Here is a 22,635-nt window from a genome sequence, read left to right on the forward strand (position 1 = left end):
TGATGTTTTAAGTTTAGCTCCCTCTAGCTTTCTTCTAAGATTTCAATTATCCTCAAATGACCCATTTTCTTATTTTACCATTAAAAAAATATTTGAAATCTGATAAATAACTTACTTTTTGTTTTAATAGAAAAACTTAGCACTCAGGAAAAAATAATTTTGCATACATGCAATGTATAAGAATTTCAAAGGAGAATGACATTATGATATTACTTAAGTTGTATAATATTCATTCTTTGAAGAAATATTTACGAGTAACTAATACTGTGTGCAAGGCATTGAACATTAAATAATGTAGTTTATATTTTAAAATTGGAAAGAGTAATGTTGTCTATTTTCAATCTAATCTTTCTAAACAATATTAAAATTAGATGTGTCCAATGTGTCATATGACTAATTTTGGCATGTAATAGAATAAACTAAGAGGTAATTTAGGAAATTATTGATAAAATTGCCCGTTTTTCTATAATATACTCTATTTTATCTGTCCTACCTCTAGTTTCATATTTTCTTCTCCCCTGACTTCCCAGGTTTAAGATCTATTCTTTTTTTCTTTCTTTCTTTCTTTCTTTCTTTTTTTTTTTTTTTTTGACAGAGTCTCACTCTGTCACCCAGGCTGGAGTGCAGTGGTGCAATCTTGGCTCACTGCAACCTCCACCTCCCAGGTGCAGTGGATTCTCCTGCCTCAGTCTCACAAGTAGCTGGGACTACAGGTGTGAGCCACCACACCTGGCTAATTTTTGTATTTTTGGTAGACACAGGGTTTCACCATGTTAGCCAGGCTGATCTCAAACTCCTGACCTCAAGGGATCCACCTGCCTCTGCCTCCCAAAGTGTCGGGATTACAAGCGTCAGCCACCATGCCCAGCCTAAAATCTATCCTTTAAACCTCCTATTGGAATCCATGGAAAATGACTTAGCTGTGCTGGGGGAAAAAAAGTACATATGGGTTATTAACTCCTAGCAGAGATTTGAGGCTTGGAAAAGGAAGGCTGCAAAGTTATGATTTTTGTCAATTAAGATCATCCTAATTATTGAGAAAAGAGAACAAATGATAATAAAAAATAATATTTAAAATGGCTAGCATTTCTTAAGTACTTATTCTGTCCTAGACACTGTGCTAGAACTTTTAAACTGAGAGGTAGGAAGCCTTGATTAAAGAAACTGGAACTCTTCTAATTTTGATCCTAGCCATTAGTCAATTCTTTCTTGACTCAAAATTGAATAGACATATATTCAGACACGCATAAAATTTAAACTTTAATTATTATAAACTTTAATTATTATTTTATTATTAAAATAAACTTTAATTATTACAATATTTATCAAGATATTTAGCAAATATCATTGTCAGACCTGTAAGGCTGCTCTCCTGTGTGGGTTCTCAAGTGCCGTGTTAGGTTTGCAGACCTTGGAAAAATCTTGCCACAGTATCTGTTATGAAAAGATGTTTATAAGAGAAAGTCAGCACAGTTGACTATATTTCACTCATGCCACACAGCAGCCAGATGCTTATTCCTGATTCAATTAATCTTGCATGGAACTCACATTTCTTTGGTATTTAAAATTTACAACAAAGCCATTTCACAGATATTAATATAAATAACTCTACAAATAAAGACTGCATTCTAAGATCTGGTTGAATTTGTTCACTTATAAGCAAGCAATTTATGAAAATAGACTTTAGTTTTGATTACTCCTATACATCTCTCTTATTAACTCAATATTTTTACATTCACAAAATTGAACCAGATAAGGGGATAAAAATATGATAAGAGTTTCTGATTCTGGGTTGATGTAAACAGATTTCAAATGTTTCAACTCATTTTACATGTCAGCCACAGTGATAACTCCCTATGCATAGAGTGGTATCAGATCAGACAAAATCCTGAGACTTCATCCATCAAGGTATGTACCCATAAAAGCTTTATTTCTGGAAAGAAAGTGACATATTTTTCAAAGAGAAGATAAAGTGATATGCCTGAGTCAAATACCTACACATTTCTAAAGATGATTCAGAAATTATAAGCACAATTTATTTAGCAAAAAAAAATCACACACAAAACCAGAAACATAAAATAAGCTTTACTACTGATGAGTAACAAAAAATTTACTAGCTAGTTTTATTCACTTATGGACCTTACTTCTCTTTAATTAATGGCCTTATTCTTTAATGCCATGACAATTAATAAATATATGCTTGAGGACAGTAGTAGTATACCTTTAGATGAAAATAATTAATTGTGAAAGAAAATTCATAAATATCAAAGTGAGACAAGTAGATAGTATTTGGATTGTTTCCAACCTCATTTATCACAACCAAATGTCCTGTGTTAAAATTCACATTTAATAATTTTTTAAAAACACTATTTTTATATTTCACTAAATGAAGAACACTTTGAAGTGCTGGAGATCTATTATGGTGGCTATTAATCATCTAATCAGGAATAATTTCCAAAACAAACAGCAAGACCTTTTGAAATCAGAGGGGAGATTTCTGGAAAGTCAGCCATAATTAACTGTGCAGTTACCTGCAGGTATAGCGCTCCTTTCCCTTCCGCAGAAGGTTCTCTGGCAGGGCATTGGGAGGCGCCCTGAAGTTGAACATAGAGGGCACTGACTGTAAGAGCTCACTGGCCTCAGGTTTCAGGGCACTGAAGCTCTCTAGCTTTTCTGCCATGTTTTCAATAGCTGACATCTGAAAGGTAAAAGCACAAGACCATGAAGCGTTTGGCATCTTGTCTTCTATAATAATCTCTGGCAAACCAAGGACATCATTAAAAGGGAAGCATGAAATCTGCGACGGGTTGTAGAAAGAGACTGTAGTATCCCAATATTAAATAAACAACAACAGAATTGATTTATTTGGGAAATACCATAAGTAGAACCAAGCTTATAAAATGCTGAGCGAACTTTTTCCATAAGACCTTGGTTAGGCCATTTTATCATAATCTGATATATAATTGAACATTGAAATACATAAGAGAGCCAATAAAGCCAAGTTAACTTTTTATTTGATTAAATGACAGCATTAGTATCATGGTATGGATATTAACATAACGGAAATTATAGGAAAAGTTGCTATATGCCTTACCTAGGCAATGAAAACCGTAAGAACCATGCAGTCCCAAGAAAAGAACTGAAAGCATGGGAGAACATGAAGTATTACAGAATTACAGCTTAAGCCAAATATGGGTAACTCAGAAAGAAAAAACTAAATGTATAGGAGGGTATTGCCTAAGACTACATTAAATTAACATCTGGATATGCCATATTTTTATGTAGGATCATATACAAAGAATTTTGATTAAATATTAATTTTATCAAAGACAAAGACTAAGTTGAAATGACAGTTCATCATATGTTAATATAATTTCATATAACATAACTTGGCATGTGCCTTGTAAGACAGGGGGAGCAGTTTATGTAACCACACTTTTCGAGAAACATTCTTGAAAGAAAACTATCCCTGCCTAATTCTTCCCCTCTAGTAATCTAATTTTTGTTGTTTATAATCTTCAAGTTTTTGTACACCTGCACACTTATTTGAGAGTCACAAGCAGAAGATGGCATTTACTTTTAAAGTTGGCTTGATCCCTGTTTTTTAAAAACTTTTTGTAGAGATGGAGTCTCACTATGTTGCTCAGGCTGGTCTTGAACTCCTGGTCTCAAGCAATCCTTCCACCTGCTTCGGTCTCCCAAAGTGCTGGGATTATAGGCATAAGCTACTGTGCCCAGTCTTAGCTTGATTCTTAAGCTCCACAGCCAGAGGGACTCTCCCCTTTCCTTTGACCCTCTCAACATGTTGTGTTTCCTCAGGGCTCACATTTTATTTGGAAGCTGCTTATTACTGAATTTTTAAGTAGAAAAACAAACTTTCAGGCCATCCTGTTAAATCAACTCACCCATTATTTATTTGATTCTCAGGGCAGTGTGCCATTAGAAAGCTCAAGAAGCTATTTTAAAAGGTGTTTGCATTCTATATGCATTACATAAAAATCTCAAAGAGCTGTGATGCTAGACCAGAAGACACATAAGAACTGAGATGATCACTGCAAATTCAAACAACTGGTCAACCCAAGAAACTATCCTTTTGCTAATGAGACAGCAGGACAGAGATGGAGGCCTAATTTATGAGCTCAAGTTAAAAATAAAAGGCAACATTTCCTACTCAGAAGGAAAAATTAACAAGACATATATTCTGTGGACACACAGCTGGACAGAATACCATCAGCTTCTTAAAGTAGAGCAAAGTCTTAACAGCATGGCCTGAACATGATCTCTTCTCACAAAAGGAATATTGTGTGTTTGATTCTTCAAGTGACTATTCATGTTCTAGTTAGTTCTCTTTTTTCCCCCTTTATCCTGGAGCCTGCCCTCTCATTTCATGCCCGGACTCCTAATGTTAGCTACAAATTGCAACGTACAGGGTACTACTGCCAATTTGCCAAATGTCTTTCATCAAACACGGTACAAAAAAATCTCAGAGGAAAGTCAAGATACATTTACTTGTCAGACGACAAATGTGAACGCATCGGGAGGCAGTAAGGGCTATAAGCTCAGGGGTTTGATTCATAATCACTCAGCTGCTAAAACATTCTCCACAGATGCAAGTGGACAGCACATTTGTCACTATGAAGGATTTTGACACATACTGATCACAGGGCAGAGATATGGAATGATGCTGCTGCTCACAGAGGTTGGAGGAAATTCTGTCTCTGCAGAATATGGTCATTATTCCCTTCTAGACAGAGCATTAGCATGTCCATGTTACTTTGGATTTATTTGTTAAAAAATCAATCCAGAAATATTTTATGATACTCTTGTATTTGCATTTATTCCTTCTAATTGTTCCTTGCAGAAAATCATTTTGATATTCCACCCAGCAAGAAATAAGTTTTCTGAGTGAAAAATGAACTCTGGCCTTTAAACTGATTAGTACTACTAACAAGCATGGGTAAGGGTCATGATCACACACATTTATTGGGAAGAACAGTTAATGCATGGGTAATGATTATAAATGTTTTATTTATGTACATTTAATATTTAAGTAAAATTTCATTATCTAGTGGTTTTAAATCATTTGAGTGTCCATCTTGCTGACATACTCAGACTCCTGCAACAAAACATCTCATAGAAACACGTTTCCTTTTATATGGAAAATAGCTTACTCATGACTATTATTCTCGGCTTTCATCTTCAGCACACATAAACCACAAGTCCTTCAAGTTATTTGAGAGCAATTGGCTGTTGAGAAATGTGTCTTGCTTTAGTAGCTGCTAATAGCTAGCTCCTTTTGAAGAAAGATCACTGTGATTACTTTACCTCAAACTGTTTCGATTTGGGAAAACCATCAAGAAACAAGAAAATATATTATGGGCTTGATGGCTAAATAATGACATTCTTAAAGGTAATAGGAAAAAGAATAAGGGTTACGCAAGTGTCTTACAAGCCTCCCCCACCTTTGGCTTCTGGTGTCAAATGAAAAGAGGATTAAATTGGAGTGGGGAAAGGGAGGGAAAGACGATGGGAAGCGAGCTGAGGGTAACTATTAACACACATACACACGTACACAAAACATTTTCTGCCCAGCCAGCAACCACTGAAGCAACATAAAAGCCTTCGTTGAATCCTTCTTTTCATCTTCCTAATGTGTGCTCTTATAGCAGTTGACCTCAGTTGAAAAGAATAAGTTTCCACATTAAGATAAACAGAAGTGACTCAGACATCTGCTAGTTGGGGTAACTTGGCAGTTCTGTGATCAACATCAGCCCTAGTCAACACCTTAGATTAAGATATTGGATTAACACGAACTCTATTGAGTGCACAGATCAAAACCCCAACTCTCTCTTGCTATCTGGTCTGAGTCACGTGATGTTCCTCCAAAAGTAACACTTTTTTGCAGGAGAAATAGTAAGTTTTGACATTCATTTTAAATTTTAAAAATCAAGATAAATTGGAATAAATGGAACAGAATCTAGCTATATGTTTTTAAATTATGAAAAAATCAAATGAAAAGAGCAATATGTACTACTAGGAATAAGAAATTTGCTGAGAATGGGGAAATCAAAGGGGTAAAATTAGATCATATATTTTAAAAATATATTACCCTGTGATCCATTAATGTCATAGGCTAATCTAAGATCAGTAAATGACAGTTTTTTTCCTATGGAACAGTAATTTTTATTTACATATATAATAGTTGATGTTATCTGCAGCCAGATGTCTGGAAGAGGAAGTCATTTCACCCTGTTCCAGTCCCCAAGAGGCTATTAACTTTATACTGACGCAAACTAATATTTAGACACAATTCCCTAGCTCCTACCAAAAAATGTAGCTATCTCTCTAGTCAAATAAAGTTAGTATTTTTAAAAACATTTCAGCAGGCAAGATATTATCAACTGGGTCCTAAGCACTTAACATTTATTATCTGGCAGCCAATAATTGATGACAAAAAGGTTTCTCATTAAAACTATTAAAGTGACAACCTGATTATATGAAATGATATGTCCAACAACACCATGAATTATGTGACCTAATGTTTTACAAATTCGATTACACATGACTTTATCATAAAATAACTAACTTTTCATAAATAACTTATGATGGGAAAGTTTGTAGATTTGGTGATTTTCTATATTTATTCACTTGATAATCTTGAGAAATCTCAAAATCATGGTCATATGGGGGAGAAGTAAATATTCCTATTTTATGGTTATCCCACTCCATGTATCACATTCAGCAGTCATGATTATGAAATCACTTAGTTTTTTCTTTATTTTTGTGAGTACATTGTAGGTGTATATATCTGTGGGATACATGAGATGTTTTCATACAGGCATACAACGTGAAATAATCATATCACGGAGAATGGAATATTCATCCCCTCAAGCATGTATCCTTTGTGTTACAAACAATCCACATAGAGGTTTTTTTACCACGAAAAATTATAAACATATATCTTTAATATTTCCTACTAATATCTGTTTTATAATACAAATGTAAATCACATCTCTGAAAAACCTGTGACTCAATGGAATGGGAATGTTTCAAAGCATTGCAACGGCAATCACTATGCTGTTGTATTATAAGAAAAGGTAGTTTAACTTAAAATCTATATTGCCTTGGTAAGTTGGTACAATCATTGGCCATGTATGTAAGGGGTCAACACCTTAAGCTTCAACCACCTAACAAGAGAGCTATTGTCAAAGTCATACTGTACCTTAGAAAAGATGAGGACCGTGAGGCACAATACTCAAGACAGATCTCTACCAGGAAAGGCAAAGGAAGAATACTGGAAATGTAGGCCAGGATAATCAGAAAACAACCCCATCTATTGCACAACTTTGCCTAAGTTAGTGGGTTGATCTCTCTTCCTCTCTCTCCATAAATATTTGTGTACATTTGAAATAAACTTAAACCTTAAAAGTCTATCAGAATGAGAAAAATCACAATTTTACATATTCCACAAAAGAGATAAAATGAAGGAATTTCTCATAAAGAAAAATTAACATCAAATAGAGGAAATAGGTTAGTGCTAAAATGCTTCAATTAAGTTTATATATAATGATTCAGTGACTTTAAAAGGACAGCTAAACTATATCCCAAGATTTTGCTCATTCATCAGAAATCAGCATAATTTTCAGTGAAAAAGAGAAACAAAAACACATATACTTAGAGAATATTTTTAACTATATGTTATTTCCACTGACCAGGTTTTATTTGGGGGTAAAAACTAAATAAGCAGTATTCTTTGTATCCTGAATATCTTCCACAATAAAAATAAAGCTATCCCCTAATATTATTAATTGAAACTGACTGGATCTGGAAATAGTAACTGAAAGTCAAGGAAGTGAAACTAGATGCTAAAAGATCCATTCACTAGTTACACATGAATTTGTAAACATTTAGTTTTATATCTTCAAATAGCCAGAACCAATTTCTGCCCTAGGATATATAGATGTGAATTCCCATGTCAGCCTGTATCTACACAGGAGTTCAGGTTTTATCCTTTAGAAGGCTTTATCAAAAGCATCTTTACATGCTGATACAGGCTCCACCAAATAATGGTTGTTTTCACTTAGTGACCCATTTCGAAGCCTCGTTTAACAGCGTGTTCCCAGGTGTCCAGAAAGAGCTCCGTATCAAGGTATAATTATGTGGAATGCATCAGATTTATCGAATAAAATCATTCTGTAAACAATTTCTATCCCACTAAATGCCCAATTATAACTGAAAGAATGCAGCTTGAGAAAGCAGGGAAACTATCTGCTGGAACCATATCACGTAATGGAAAGGGGTTCAGAATTATTTATGTCTGTACAGCAATTTAGAATGTAAGCTGTTTTCTTTTTAATGCTACATCACTTTAGTCAAAAATATAAGTAGGAAACTTACCCAAGTTCTCTGATCAGGCAGTTGGAACTGGGAGCAAAATTGAAACAAAAACAAAAAATTACTTCTGTGTTGGTATCTTTATTGCAATCTATCCTTTGAGAAATTAACATTTGTACTAACTTAGTAATTTTTGCTTATCATGTAACTGTACCTTGAGTAAAAGCTTTGGAAATAAAAATTAAATATTGTTATAACTCTGTTGAATTTCCTCTGTTTACCTAAATGGAATGTTTGAATCAAGGTTAATTTCCACAAGAAAGCTAAATGCTACCTACTAGCAAATCTTACAGCAAAGCAGATGCTTCCTTTTTATTAACTACTACTTGCTATAAAACAATATCCTTAAACTTAGTTTAATTACTAAAAATTAGGCCATTTCCTGTAAAAATCCAATCTCTTGCATTTGTATAATGTTAATAACAAAGAAAAGATATTTACTCAAATATGAATCACTAAATAACAAAAGGATAATGAAAGGATAATGTACTTGGAAATTCACTACTTGATTTTTATTAGCATAGGACTCAGACCATCAGTAGTCAGAACAGTTAAGAACGTTAATGGAAAACTAAAAAGATCTAGCTCTTAATGACAAATTCTGACAAGAGTCACTGGGAAAACCTTCAGTGGGTTAGAAGCTCTTCCAGGAGACACAAAAGTTATATACGCTTAAAAATATCATTTTGCTTGGTTAAAGGAGATATATATTTTGCTTATACATGTTTTGGTATATTTAATAAGGAATATATGTAGTTTTTAAAGGATGAAAACTTGATTGCAGAAGAAATCTAACCATATGAAACACTTGTTGAAAGCAAAATAGAAGATGAAGAACAGAAGATTTAAGTGATTTTTCACATCAATGTGTAAATTATAACTTAGGAAAAGACTGTCTCCTCAGTTCCTTGGAATGTAGTAGCATGATAATCAGCCAATTTAAAAGAAAGAAAATATAAAAGAATGAAGAAAGGATAGAAATGTAAGTAAAAGAGAGTCTGTTGCAGATGTACTCAAAGCCAAACATTTGGAAATAAAATGTGCAAATAACCAAAAATAATATTAAAAGTATAGTAAAATCAAACCAAGGAATAATAGCCACTTTTACAATAGTGTAATTGCAAAATGACTTCCATGGATGTTCAAATGGGCTATCAGTGTGAATGCAAAGGATCCAAAATAGGAACAAACGAAATGGACATTCAGAGGTCACACAGTAATAACATTCCCTGCATCTTACCTATTTGTGGCCATTCAACTCCTTTTCAAAATTACAGTGACCATAAATAATTTTCAATCACATATGCAGGGGAAGCCTCTACAACGCTTATTTCTCCCTTAGAGTAAACTAACTTATTTGTAAAAGAAAACTAGAAGACTAAATAGTTCTCACCTGGCCTGATAGAGCAAACATGCTTCTTCAAGAATTGAACTAAGAGAAGACTTTAGACCCTCAGCATTCATCTTTTAATTTTGATGTATGCATTCATGTATCTTTTTTTTTTTTTTGAGTTGGACTTTCACTCTTGTTGCCCAGGCTAGAGTGCAATGGCACAATCTCAGCTCACTGCAACCTCCACCTCCTGGGTTCAAGTGATTCTCCTGCCTCAGCCTCCCAAGTAGCTGGGATTACAGGCATGTGCTACCACGCCCGGCTAAATTTTTTTGTATTTAGTAGAGAAGGGGTTTCACTCTGTTGGTCAGGCTGCTGTTGAACTCCTGACCTTAGGTGATCCGCCCGCCTCGGCCTCCCAAAGTGCTGGGATTACAGGCATGAGTCACCGCACCCGGCCTCTTCTAAGTATTTTTGACAGAATTTTTAAAATACGTATTATTCCAAAACGCAATAATATAGCCTAATAATCTTTCAATAAAATTCAATATATTTTTATTTACTGAGGTGTTCACTTATCACTGATTAGGAATTATGGAATGGGAAGGAATATGCTGGGAACAATATAAAGATATTCAAAAATTGTAAAACCAGACTTGCCCAGAGAATACCACTATGAAGCATCCTTCTTTCTTTTCCCTAAAACATTGAGAATTTGATCCTCCCTTTATTATTATGATAACCCAAGAAATAGGGCAGATATTATTCCCATTTTGAAATGAAGATCCAGATGCTGAGAGGGTCCATGTGATTTACTCCAATATACTTAAATGGAAAATGAAGCAATGAACAGTTTTATGCAAGCACATTAGCTATGAAATCATAACAAGCACTAAGAACAGAGGCAAGTCATTCTGTTTTGGCTCCTTGATCTGTGCCCCCCTTACTTCTGCAGTGAGGTCATGCCAAGAATACAATAAGCATCTTTTCAAGCACTCCTAGATACATGGCATGGCCCTGGCAAAGAAATTGGGCATAAATATTTATATTTATAATAAAATGCTTTTGCACCCACTAATAAGAGCTCTTCCTCATTTAGGTCCTTCCACATGCCAAGCACAATGCTAAATATGTTGCGTACATAAATGCCAGCTCTTCCAGCTACCCTGGGAAGGGTAAGACTTGATGAAAGAGGAAGAGGGCTCACCTGTATCCCAGCTTGTATCCCAGCTATATATAGCATGACACAAGAAAACAGCCATGATATTTATAAAAACAATGAAATATTTCTGTAATAGTCGGTAAATAGCCTTTGCCCTAAGCACCCTGAGTGTTCCCCTGCTTCCTTGGCCTCTTCCCCAAACACCCCTCAGATAGTCCCACTATCCAGCAAATAAAACATTGGCAGTTGATGCAGCAAAAGCCTCCAGTATCCTGCTCCAGAATGGCAGAAATCCATTCCGATTGGTAGGTATTCATGACGCATCAGGTTCTAAGTATTTTGATCACCACTCTTGGGTCCTGTTCTAATAGCAACATGCAGCAATAGGGAATCCCTTACACCAAGACGTGACATTCTGGTGTAGGAGGGAATCACTGCCACTGTGCTCCCACAGGCGTGTTTGTGAAGATCTGAGGAATGACTGCTATGCTCGAAGCACTGGACACATGCCTCATCTTTTGTGATCCTTAATTAACTTTGGGAATGTTAAAATATAACATATTTGCTCTCTTATGATTTTATTTTAAAATATATACCTACTACATTGCTAACAGCTGCGAATTCATACAGAATGAATGGTTGACAAAACTGCCCATCTTATGAACTGGTAAATTTACCTTAGTTAGCAAAACATCTTTGAATTTCAAAGTGGATAGAAACCTTACACCCGACTCTCTCATTTTTCAAACAGGAAAACTAAGAGCCAGGTAGACTAAGATGTTCAAAGACACTGAATCCCTTTTTGGTTTTTCTCCATTCTACCGTGAACCCATAGCACTCAATTTTGAAATGGTTAATTACTAAATTGTAAAGATTATCAGAACATGAAAATCACTTGACTACTGTAATTAATATTACTGTAATTAATTTTTGTAACATTAATGTATACATGAATATTATATGTTCATAAGTATTTATTTATAATTATAAAGGAAGTATCAAGAGAGATGTACTTTTTGTACAATATCTGACACAAAATATGTGCTACATTCCAGTTTATTAGCCTATGAAACTTTACAAGTACTATTTAGATCAGTCTAAATATAAAATATAGTCCCGATAAACATTAACTGTTTTGTAACTTACTTCTTTTCCATAAAGTAATTATGTGAGTAACATTCTTTAATCTTCCTATATAAAATTAATACTAACTGGAATGTTTCTGAAACTTTTACTGCTAAACCACATATTATCTCATTTTGAAAGGGAGTGAGAGTTCTTTAGTAATAGTAGATTTATCCAACTAACCCAGAAGATTGTGTTACAACTCTCATACTCTTTATTCAGGACTCTAGAAAGATACTTGAAAAAATACAAAAGAGGTAACAGAAAGGAAAAGGAAAAAAGAACCATATCCCATGATCTTTATTTAATTAATTTAATTACCTCATAGCTTTCCATAAGACAGCTTGCATAAACTTCCCCTGATTTTATTAGAGAACCATCATTTTTTGTTTGAACATATTACAACAGAACAAATTAGTTTATTCTATTTTTAAGAATTTTTATTAAAATGTTGCTATCTATAAAGACCAGAGCTTGCATCCTTTAAACAAAAGTAAAATAAATTTTAAATTAAGAAACCACATTCAAGATGTTTATATACCGTATTTGTTCTTTCAATACGATTTTCCACATGGTGGAAAATATGTAAACCTGTTTTTTAAAATTACTAAATGTATAAGGACTTTAGGATGAACCAATTAGAGATAGTGCTGCTTTGCATTTTCCTTGCAATGATAAACTGTATATATTTTGATAAATGAACACAATTCTATTCTGCAAATAGCACTGTGCATTGTGGTGAATTCTTGTGCAATTACAGAGCTTTGCTGGAATGCTCAGTGGTCTCTAGATAAATTCCTTCACCCTCTATGGTAACAACTTGTCAGGTAGACTCATTTCCTGTTTTTATCTAAGCCCGAAAAGAACAAGAATGACCTTCATGAGTATGGGACGAGTCACAGTATGATCTATTTCTTAGTATCAGCAACCACCACACACAAAACACATCTTGGATATTTATTTTCTTAACTGAATCCTGCTCACTCCAAAATGCACTTTAACTCAATAAACAGTTAATAGCAGACAATCATTTAACACTGAAATCATGTTATTTTTACACATATATTAACTAATTTTTCTTTAAAGAGTTTGGGTTTTAATTCTGCTAGAATTTCCTGTGTTCTTCCACACCAGCGTCATAGGAAATCCTAATGTTCTCAAGATGTCTTTCATTTCATTGCACCTGCTTTTCAGGATCAACAAGTTAGTTTACAAGCTGGAAATCTCAAATCCAAAATACTTACTTGTGGGTGAAACAAGAATCCTGGAGAAGGCCTCAAGTATTTCTCTTTTAAAGCTTCAAGTGGGTCAGTTAGTTTTCTTTTCTCTACTCTGAAAGGTTAAAATTAGATTTTGGAGATGAAGCAGTCTCACATATCAATCACTACATAATCACTGACATTTAAAGGAACTAACAATAAAGTCAATGGTAGGTTTCTGGGAAGCGCACTCATAAAACTATAGAGACATCTGTCCAGTTCTTGGAGATTCCTCATGACACTTCTAGGTGCTTAAGAAGAAAAGTTCCTATTTATAATGGAAAAACCCTACTGAATGACTAGGAATAGGAATAACGAGAAAACATGAAAAATAAGGAGTCACTAAATTAGAGGCATTTGTCATGAATTCAGTACCTTTCCATTCCAAATGTAGACAAGAATGCTTAATGATTTTGAAATCATGAGGTCAAGGCTGATTTTGAATATTAGAGCAATTTTCTACCAAGAAGGTGTTCTCCCAAATGTGCACTTTATTCCTTCCATATTTGTCAATAATAGTAAGGGCATTTCCAAGCATATACACTGCTAGCCACTCTTTGAGGTTCTCTCTCTCTCAATATATATTTATATTTAAACATATAGCATAATATATTGATATATAAATATTTTATGTAAATTATATTTAATATATATTCAGAGAGAGAGAGAGAATATATGCTCTTTGGATGCCACTGCTGATAAAGAAGGCAGGCAGATAGAATGGGTGTGGTGAGAAGAGAATGGGGAGCTTTCTGAAGATAGAGAGAGACACATAAAACTTACCTATATATCCCTTCTGCTTTAGAAATGTTTGCCATTCTATTTTGTATTAAGCACATAGGGAAATAATATCCCTATGTTGAATTAATTCATTGAATTAATTTCTTTTACCAACTTGGTAATTAAAAAAACTTTTAGATATGTGCACTCTTAAAGCAGAATAAAATACCTACCACTTATTGATATTATATATGTGATATATGTGTGTTGCATATACTATTTCACTTTTTGAAGTAGGTGATGTTATATCCATTTTATGCTTTTTTTTTAAGTCTCAGACATGAGAAGGCTGAGGTTGCAACCCAAGTCTGACACTAAAACTGGATTCTAGGTCTTTCATGAGTTTGGCAAAATGACAGGCCTAGGTCTTAATTGAGACAAGCACCAGAGAGATGTTGGAGATCACAGTGAGTAAGAGGAATGCTAGTAGGTGATGAGGATGAGTGCAAGAGATATGTGGAAGAATCAGAAGCCAGTTGCTACTGAGAGGGTACAAAAAGGAAAGCCTGAAAAATTATCTTAACAAAGGACTGAGACACATCATTGAGTTGGAAATACGACTTTACCCGAAATGTGTGACATACAATCTACACACAAAACACGGAAGACATGTTTTTCTTTTTTTTCCTTCTCTGGTAACAGGACTGCCAAACTAATTGAGATATAATAATTTTAAAAAGCAGCCAAACTTGGTACTGACAGCACTGAGTTATTTTGTATTGTCCTTTGATACTACTTTATCATATTCAAACGAGGGTAGTCCTTTCCATACTGACAGTGTTTCCTTGTTAACGCATTATAGATAATATACATAGAAGAAGAATTGTAAGTGAGAAGAACTTGCAGCTCTAGTACCTATTAAGTAATATGAACTTGATAAATATTGTTGAATTAAATAATAGCACATTTTCTCTTCACGAAAGAGAATTAGGCAAAATATGAAAATACTCCGATGTTAAATAAGTTCAATAAAAAATTATCCAGATGTTCCATGAACTCTTGACAATGTTCAAGATTAGAATGAGAAAGTAAATGTGAAAATGTTTGTAATATTCAAAATATGTAACAAACATATTATTATTCATACCCATTTAAAGAAAACTAGTATTTTAAAACTAAATCACTTTGGTCAGGTGAATATTACTGAATATTGCCAAAAAGGCCTTTTATTAAACTTGTATGTTTCACCCCAAGATTTTTTTGCTACATCAAAGGAAACCGGATAATGAAGCTATTAAACAGAGACATTTTTTAAGCCAACTACTCATATTATATACAAAACATATTCTGTGATTAATATTTCATTTACTTGGGGGCTCCTGAGAGATTTATTTAGAAACAATATGACCAGCCCTTATTAAGGATGTGTTGGTAGGTCAAAAAAGAGTGGACTCTTGCTGTTAGATATCCCCCCCATTCCAAAGAACCTGACCCATTTAAGTACCCACGCATATTTGCATTAATCCTTCAGGATCCTCATTCTTCCGCCACTTGACAATTTACTTTAAATATGACTTTCCCATATTTTCCACTCCAAAAAAAGTGTTTAAAAATAAATTTATTGTCAAGGGAAAAAAATTCTGTAGGCCTATTCCAAACCCCCAACTTCAGAAACATCCAAAAATAAGTTCAAACAGAATGATCCAACTTTCAGAATAAAAAATGAGTTCACTAGATCAAACAACTTCACTCTGTTTTATAATAATAGTAAAAATGATGTGTTAAAAAGCCATCACTTTACAGTGGAAATACCGCCTTTCATACATCTGCTCATATTTCGTCATCTTCCATACACGCTTACCTGTAAATAGGGTCCATAAAGAAAGGAGTGGGTCTTGCATGCTGCAAGGAACCATCTGAAGCAGGTCTTGATTCGACGTTGCTTCCTTTTTTTCCCCCAAACACGTGGTTTTTTCGAGGCTCAGTCAGCTTTGTCCCACTGGCTCTACTCCTACTGCCCATACTTAGATCCAGGGGCTGGTCTTGGCTTGTGGCAGGTGTCACTGGAGGCTTGGAGGGGACTGGAGTCAAGGGCTTCTCATCCTTTCGCTTAGTGGTGAGATCAAAGGGGGACTCAGAGCTGCCCTTCTGCAGTTTCTTTACTTCACCTGGTGATTGGGGTTCCATTTTCAAAGGTAACGATCTCAAGTCTCTATCAGGAAATGGGTACATTGATTGAGAGAATGCTGGAAAAAATGGGAGGGGAAACATGGAAGGGTAAGGTAAAGCTCCAACTTTTTTGTCTTGCAGCCCCACCAGTCCTGTTGAACCAAAGTATTTTTCAGCAATAGAAGCAATAGCCTTTATAGAATCATTCACAGCTCCTGACACCGCAGTCTGCTCCTCTAAAGATGGTGAGAAAATGGAATGATTGCTGTATTCTTTCTTATTATTTATTGAAGCCAGATTCTGAAGAGGGCTTACTTTGTCTTTGAACATTTTACCATTTTCTTTAAATTTCTCTTTATCACTTTCAATGTCACTTTCCAGATCAGAGCCCGAGGTTGTTTCCAGGTCACTGCCACTTGGTGTACTGACATCATCAAGGTCACTACTCTCTGACTGGTCACTGATTTTCTCAAAGGGCCTCTCTTCAGAGGACCTCTCGGGCTGGAGCTCCACTGGCTTATTGTCCCCTACAGATGGGTGTTTAGATAGTGCCTTCAAAATATCCTGTGTAGCTGGCAGTATCTGAGGATGTGTCATGAGGGGACTTTGACTTTTGTTTGTCTGTTCAGTACTTGATAGTCCTTTAACAGGAGAACTAGCAGGTATCAAAGGAGGCCTGTGGTACAAGCCGGAAGGAAACAGACCAGGGAAGCTAAAAGAAAATCCAGGAGCTGTTGGAAAGGTAAGACCAGCAGGATGCCTATTGGCGCCAAAATAGTCAGCAAGGCCCGGGTTGGCATGACTCATATTAACCATGGACGTTTTATCCATAGCTGGGGTTCCAGGAAGTGAAATGCCTTGGCCAAAAAATCCACCTGCCGCAAAATGGTTCTTGCCCTCACAAAACCTCCTGTGTTTATTTAAGGAAGACGTAGTGCTGAACATTTGTCCACAGTCTTTGCACTTGATTTGGGTTCTGCAATCAGCATGCATGCGCTTATGACGGCAAAGGTTTGAAAACTGAGTATAGGATTTATGGCAGACCTCACCTGTGTGCAAACAACAAAAAAGAATCTCAGGCTTTATGTCAATTGCTTCTGAATTTAGCAAATATCACAATTGGTTTACTCAAAATTTCAATTAGGAAGCCAGTAAAAGACATTGGAGGCACCAATCTGGGTGCTCCAAACACAGAAAACCCCATTTCACTAGATTCCAAAGCAAGGCAACCAACCTGACAAATGTCTTGAGGCAGCACAAATATTTCATATATATAGATATATATATCTTGTCACCCCCTTGTGCAATATTTTGCATAATATTTGTGTATTTAAATATTTATGAAAAGTTAAATTCCATCATGCATTGATTCTCCACACAATTATTATACTAATATAATGTTGAAAATTAGTCTTAAAATGCATTACGTACAAAACACAACAAGAACCCCTTTCAAATTTTAGAGTACTTAAAAATTCTATTTTGTAGGCACCAAAACAAAATAAAATATCCTCAACCAGAAACTTCACCTTTATTGCCTCTCCCCTTGGGGAAAAAGCCTGTGACTGCCCTGCTATTATTTAATTGGTATTATATCATATGCTCTCATCATTCACACATCAAAGCCACACAACAATGCACATTGTGTATTCTGAGACTTTTTTTAACAATCATTTTCATGATTTGAGAAAGACTGACATAATTTACAATGGCTCTATTTTAAGCCTGCAAAGGAAACTAAATTGAATGTAGCCCATCCTGCATTGCTGGTTCCCATGAACTATGATCACGTCCTCTGACTTCCCCTCACACCAGTGGTTGTGCTAACCTTCCTGCATTTATGAAAACCCCGTCCTTGGGAAACATGTCCACTTGTTGTCATATCTACACTGGTTATCTCAGGCTTGACTTCTGTGTGTTATAGCCAACTATGCTCAGTAGGGGAGAGCACTGTGAAAGCTCTAATCCAGAAAGAAGGGCACAGCATTGGATGCAGCTGTGAAATATGCCTCTTTGCTAAGAATTTGTCAATAAAGTAGAATCTTCCTCCTCACACATGTGCCACTATAGCCAAGTATATTTTAAGACCAAACTTTGTAACCCTTAATAACTCCTTTACCAGGTAAGAATCACTCACTTCACTGTCCAGCAGTATTACAGTATCAGTACCCTGAGCATCACATTTTTTATTTTACTTTACGGGATTGAGCCACGTTATGTGTGAGCTTATTTTAACACTTCTGTGCATGTTCAATACATGCAGAAACAAGATGTACCTTGTTGGTAATTGTTGAAGCAAATTTATTTTAAGAAATTAAATTGAAGACAAAATGCAACAGTTATTGCTTTCATATGATGGCTGCCTTTAAGTGCAGAATGATTGTGCTTCTAAGTCAAAGCAATAATAATTAAAAAAAAAAACTCATGTCAAGGAGATTTTATAGACTTTCAGTCAAGCAAAACTCACCCAGAGCTTGGATTATCCCACATACATCCAAACAGGAAGTACCAAGTAAGGGTATATCTCTTTCTTTTACTACTAAAGGTTAAAGTGTATTGTTGCATATATCAAAGTGTTTGGTAATATTAAAGGTGCCTTCAATTGTGGGATGAATCACAACGTTACAGAGGCTGTAACATGCATTTTAATGGGAATAGAAGATGTGGGTGATATCTTTTCAAATTATTTTACCAGAATATATCGACCAGAGTCAGCTTTAAAAGTATATACAATTTAACCATACACCATAAATATACATCTAATTTAAACTGTTTGATACACTAATTAAAATCAAATAATGGAGAAGGTAGAAACATCAGATGTTTACTAGATATATTAGAATAATTTATAGCTACAAGCAATAACAATATTTTATTATTGGAATTATAAAAAGTAAGAAAGCAACACCTCTTAAAAGGCATTGAAAAAATGTCTTGATGAGTATTCAACCAAGACATAAGTTTTTCAAAGACTTGTCATTTTTTGGCAAGGAAATGTTGCTCTCTACACTTCTTTCTTACAATCAGATGGCTTAAAAAAAAAAAATCAAGAGCTTCTCTCTATTGGAGTAACAGAAGTTCAGCTGACTTTTCTGGTGGCACCCGTTGTTACATGGCTGAGTGCTGTCTGTGTCTGGGCTCAAGAACATCGAATCTGGGATGTTTTCTTAGGCAGAGGCTTTGTTTTCGGCACTTGAAGGCCTGGCCTGGCATACCACAAACTACCAGGCCTCCAGGTAAACTGGTTCAATTGATGTTGAAGTTTATACTCTACTGTAATTTTCTCAGTAATAAGGAATTAGCCAGCAGTTAACATTGCATTTTTCTACTTATTAAACAAATTAAGAGGCATTTTGAATATATTCAGCCTATTAGAGCATGTGGTTTCTATTTGGGAAAGCTGTAGGTTTCTGTAAAGGCAGTGAGTAATTACCTTAGCACTGGTGACTTTGGGCTCAAGCGTGGCAGCACACTGTAATAAGAGACAGTTGCCATAAACACACCAGTGGGGGTAAATCGTGGTGTGTGGCCTTCTGGTGAGAAACAGATATCAGCCCTAGGTGAACCTCCTCCACTCAAGTCTCCACACCATTTCCTGATCTTTAATCTCTTTTGTTCTGAAATTACATGGCTATTATTCATAATTACTCCATGGTTCTCTGGCAGATTTTAAATTTGAAGAATGCCATCTGCTATTTAAATTTACCAATAATTACTGAAAATACATTCAAGGGAAATACTTTATGCAATCTGATTGGAAAGGGACACCCTATGGCACTTTAAAGTGAAACACTTGTCTTCAACACAATTAAAATTCCAGATCCCAGAATCTTCGATAGCAGAAGTCTATATTTTCTGACTTTTATTTTAAATAATAGAGAAAGCATTAAATGAGTGATCAGAATTCCTTGTGGTTTATTCTAGTTTTTTCTCACATCAAAACATAATAAAACTTACCAAAATTTATTTCTGAGGAATCAGAAATAAATGAACTATTTAATATCGTATGCCTGTAGTACTTCCAAGTACATTTTCAGGGCATTAAGACTTAAGAGTCAGGAATGCCTTTTTGCGACAAGAAGTCTAAAATTTCTATTGAATGCTTTATTTCCCGTGACCTTCAATAGAGCTTCCCCAAGGGAGATGAGAGCACCCTTTTTTAATCTGCTAGTCCTCTTCACCCGGGGAACAGAAGAGCATATGAGCAAAACAGGACTCTAGTGTAAGCTGGAAAAGGAAAGAAAAGCTATTTTGGTGCTTGGACACACAAAAGAAAGCTGTGTCGAGGCAAAGGAGAGTTAGTCTCTGGCATCTCCATGTTGGCACTGAAAAATAGTTTTTTCCATCAGGTCCTGTAGTAGTGTCTCATATACCTACTACAAACCAAAGTCAGAGGTCTTGCCAAGTGCTGAGTATGCTTCAACCAATTCTATGTGTATCTGGGTCCAAAATCAGTCTTGACGTTTGTAGCACAACTCAATAAGTCATTGTATTTATATGCCCCGCCAAGCAATGGATTAAAAGAAGCCCAGATTTTTTGCCCAGGTAGACTAAGAACAACTGATTTTACTTATAAAATGTTTGAGCACAATACAGAGAATAGGAGTGGGCGGAGAGAAGAAAAAGCAAATGAGAGCTGAGTTTTATTGTATTTGAAGGATGTTACTACAGTGCTCTGTACAGGGATGTTCTAAGTAGGTGGTCAGATCAGATGTCCCCTAAAAGCACACTGCCTATAAACTTGCTTTGGTGCAGTGGGTAAGAGAAACAGCATGTCCAGCATCTAAGTGAAAATGTTCTGCTTTTCTTCAAGTAACAGAGAACTACAGATCCGACAGCCTGTGATCGGCAACAATGGGTAGATTAAAAAGCATTTCATCCCCCTCGCTCTCTCCACACACATATACTCACATACATGCACACAGAGCCGTAAGCCTACTTCCCAGGTGGGCTTCTTCCAGCTCTTTCTGATCCAGAACAGGTTTTTAATCACTTCATCTTGTTTAGTGATGGCTGCTATTTGCTGCTTTACAAAGCCATGAACATTTACAATATGAGACAAATCTGATTGTCCTGATTAAATCCTACAACCTGTGGAGGTTTCCCTTTGATTATCTAATGAATTTTCTTTTCTCTACCTGTTATTGATTTCTTCTGAAAGAAAACACCCCAGGAATCAAGGACAAAATACCATGGATCTGATTATAAAAGATTTACTTGTAATCATAAATAGCCCTACTGGATTGGACCATAAATAGCTAACACGGTGACCCTCTAAAGGCCATGTGCAGCCACTCTCCTGGTCACAGTGCCTTTTGGGGAAGAGACAGATGTGGGAAGGAGGGCTGGAGTGTTGAAAACTTACAGATAAAGGGCTTCACACTGCTGTGGATGTGCTTGTGTTGTTTGAGGCCCGACGAAGTGGCAAACGTTTTGCCACACTCCGGGCATGCATGGGCCCGGGCACCGACATGCTGAGAGCGAATGTGCCGCTGAAGGTTGCTAGGGTCCGTGAAAACCTGCTAGGAAATGAGTACTGATTAATCAAGAAACTTAACTCAAGGGCACAATAAAGAAGACCCGGGATGACTCAAGAAGAAATTTTTCTTATTTGTTTTGTTTTTCTTTTCCCCAAAGACCAAAAGTGTACTCTCCTCTAATTTCCAAAATGTACTCTCCTCTAGGGTAGGAACTGTAAATTATTCTGCTCTATATCCTTAGCATGGTGTATCCACTGGTATCAGTTGAACCAAATAATGAATGGCACTATTAGGCCATATTCAAGGCCTTTTTGATACCATTTAGAGTGACTTGAGTTGAATAATAAAATGCTGGTTAAGCCATTATTAAAACTGGTGTGCTATTTTCACCCTTTAAATAAAGACACATTGTGTACAAAAATTTGGAGGATTTTGACTAACTACATTAAATCTATTTAAAGAGTTTCCCTAGGGCGTAAAATTCTAACACTCTTTCAGTGAGTTACTAGCAAGCTAAAACCATTCCTTTAGACATTGTACTAAAAACAAAAATAAAAAAGCCACCCAACACATCTGAGAGCAAAACATCCCTAAAGAAATTTCAAATGTATTTTTTAATTTTTATGAGAAAAAAACATACAAAATTTTAATGTGCATAGAACAAGGTAATCACAGGAGAATGACTACCCAGTAACCTGGTGGGGTACAGAAATTTCCATTGGCATGAAAAAAAAAAAGCTATTAAAATGCTAGGAAATGTGTTTTGGAAATAGAAAGCAACTTTAATGACACCAGGACATCTTTGAGTTAATCAAGAAACATGAAATTAAAAGAAGTGAATTACTTTTACCATAGTTCACAGTTATGGTCTAAGTTGAGTACTTCCATATCATCCCTATGTTGTTCAGCACTGACAGAGGCTCTATACATTTTAATTAGAACCAAGTCATAATTTATGGTGAGCCCTTGGTTGGAAAAATCTGCAAATATAAG

General features: G+C 35.5%; 1 protein-coding gene across 38 annotated transcripts in view; it reads right to left on the reverse strand.

The window, feature by feature from the left end:
- Positions 1-22,635, reverse strand: part of MECOM (MDS1 and EVI1 complex locus) — a 580,206-nt gene that overhangs the window by 16,022 nt on the left and 541,549 nt on the right. For 8 of the 38 annotated variants that reach the window (NM_001205194.2, NM_004991.4, XM_047447679.1 and 5 more), the window contains 6 exons: positions 21,528-21,681; positions 15,855-17,211; positions 13,259-13,346; positions 8,398-8,424; positions 2,532-2,698; positions 1,357-1,434 (listed from right to left, as the gene is read on the reverse strand). In NM_001205194.2, the coding sequence (NP_001192123.1) occupies positions 1,357-1,434; positions 2,532-2,698; positions 8,398-8,424; positions 13,259-13,346; positions 15,855-17,211; positions 21,528-21,681 (1,871 nt within the window). Of the gene's footprint in view, positions 1-1,356; positions 1,435-2,531; positions 2,699-8,397; positions 8,425-13,258; positions 13,347-15,854; positions 17,212-21,527; positions 21,685-22,635 lie in introns of all 38 variants that reach the window. The other 30 variants (XM_005247213.4, XM_011512546.3, XM_047447677.1 and 27 more) reach the window with 7 other exon arrangements.

This window comes from Homo sapiens, chromosome 3, assembly GCF_000001405.40.
Source record: "Homo sapiens chromosome 3, GRCh38.p14 Primary Assembly".
NCBI lineage: Eukaryota > Metazoa > Chordata > Mammalia > Primates > Hominidae > Homo > Homo sapiens.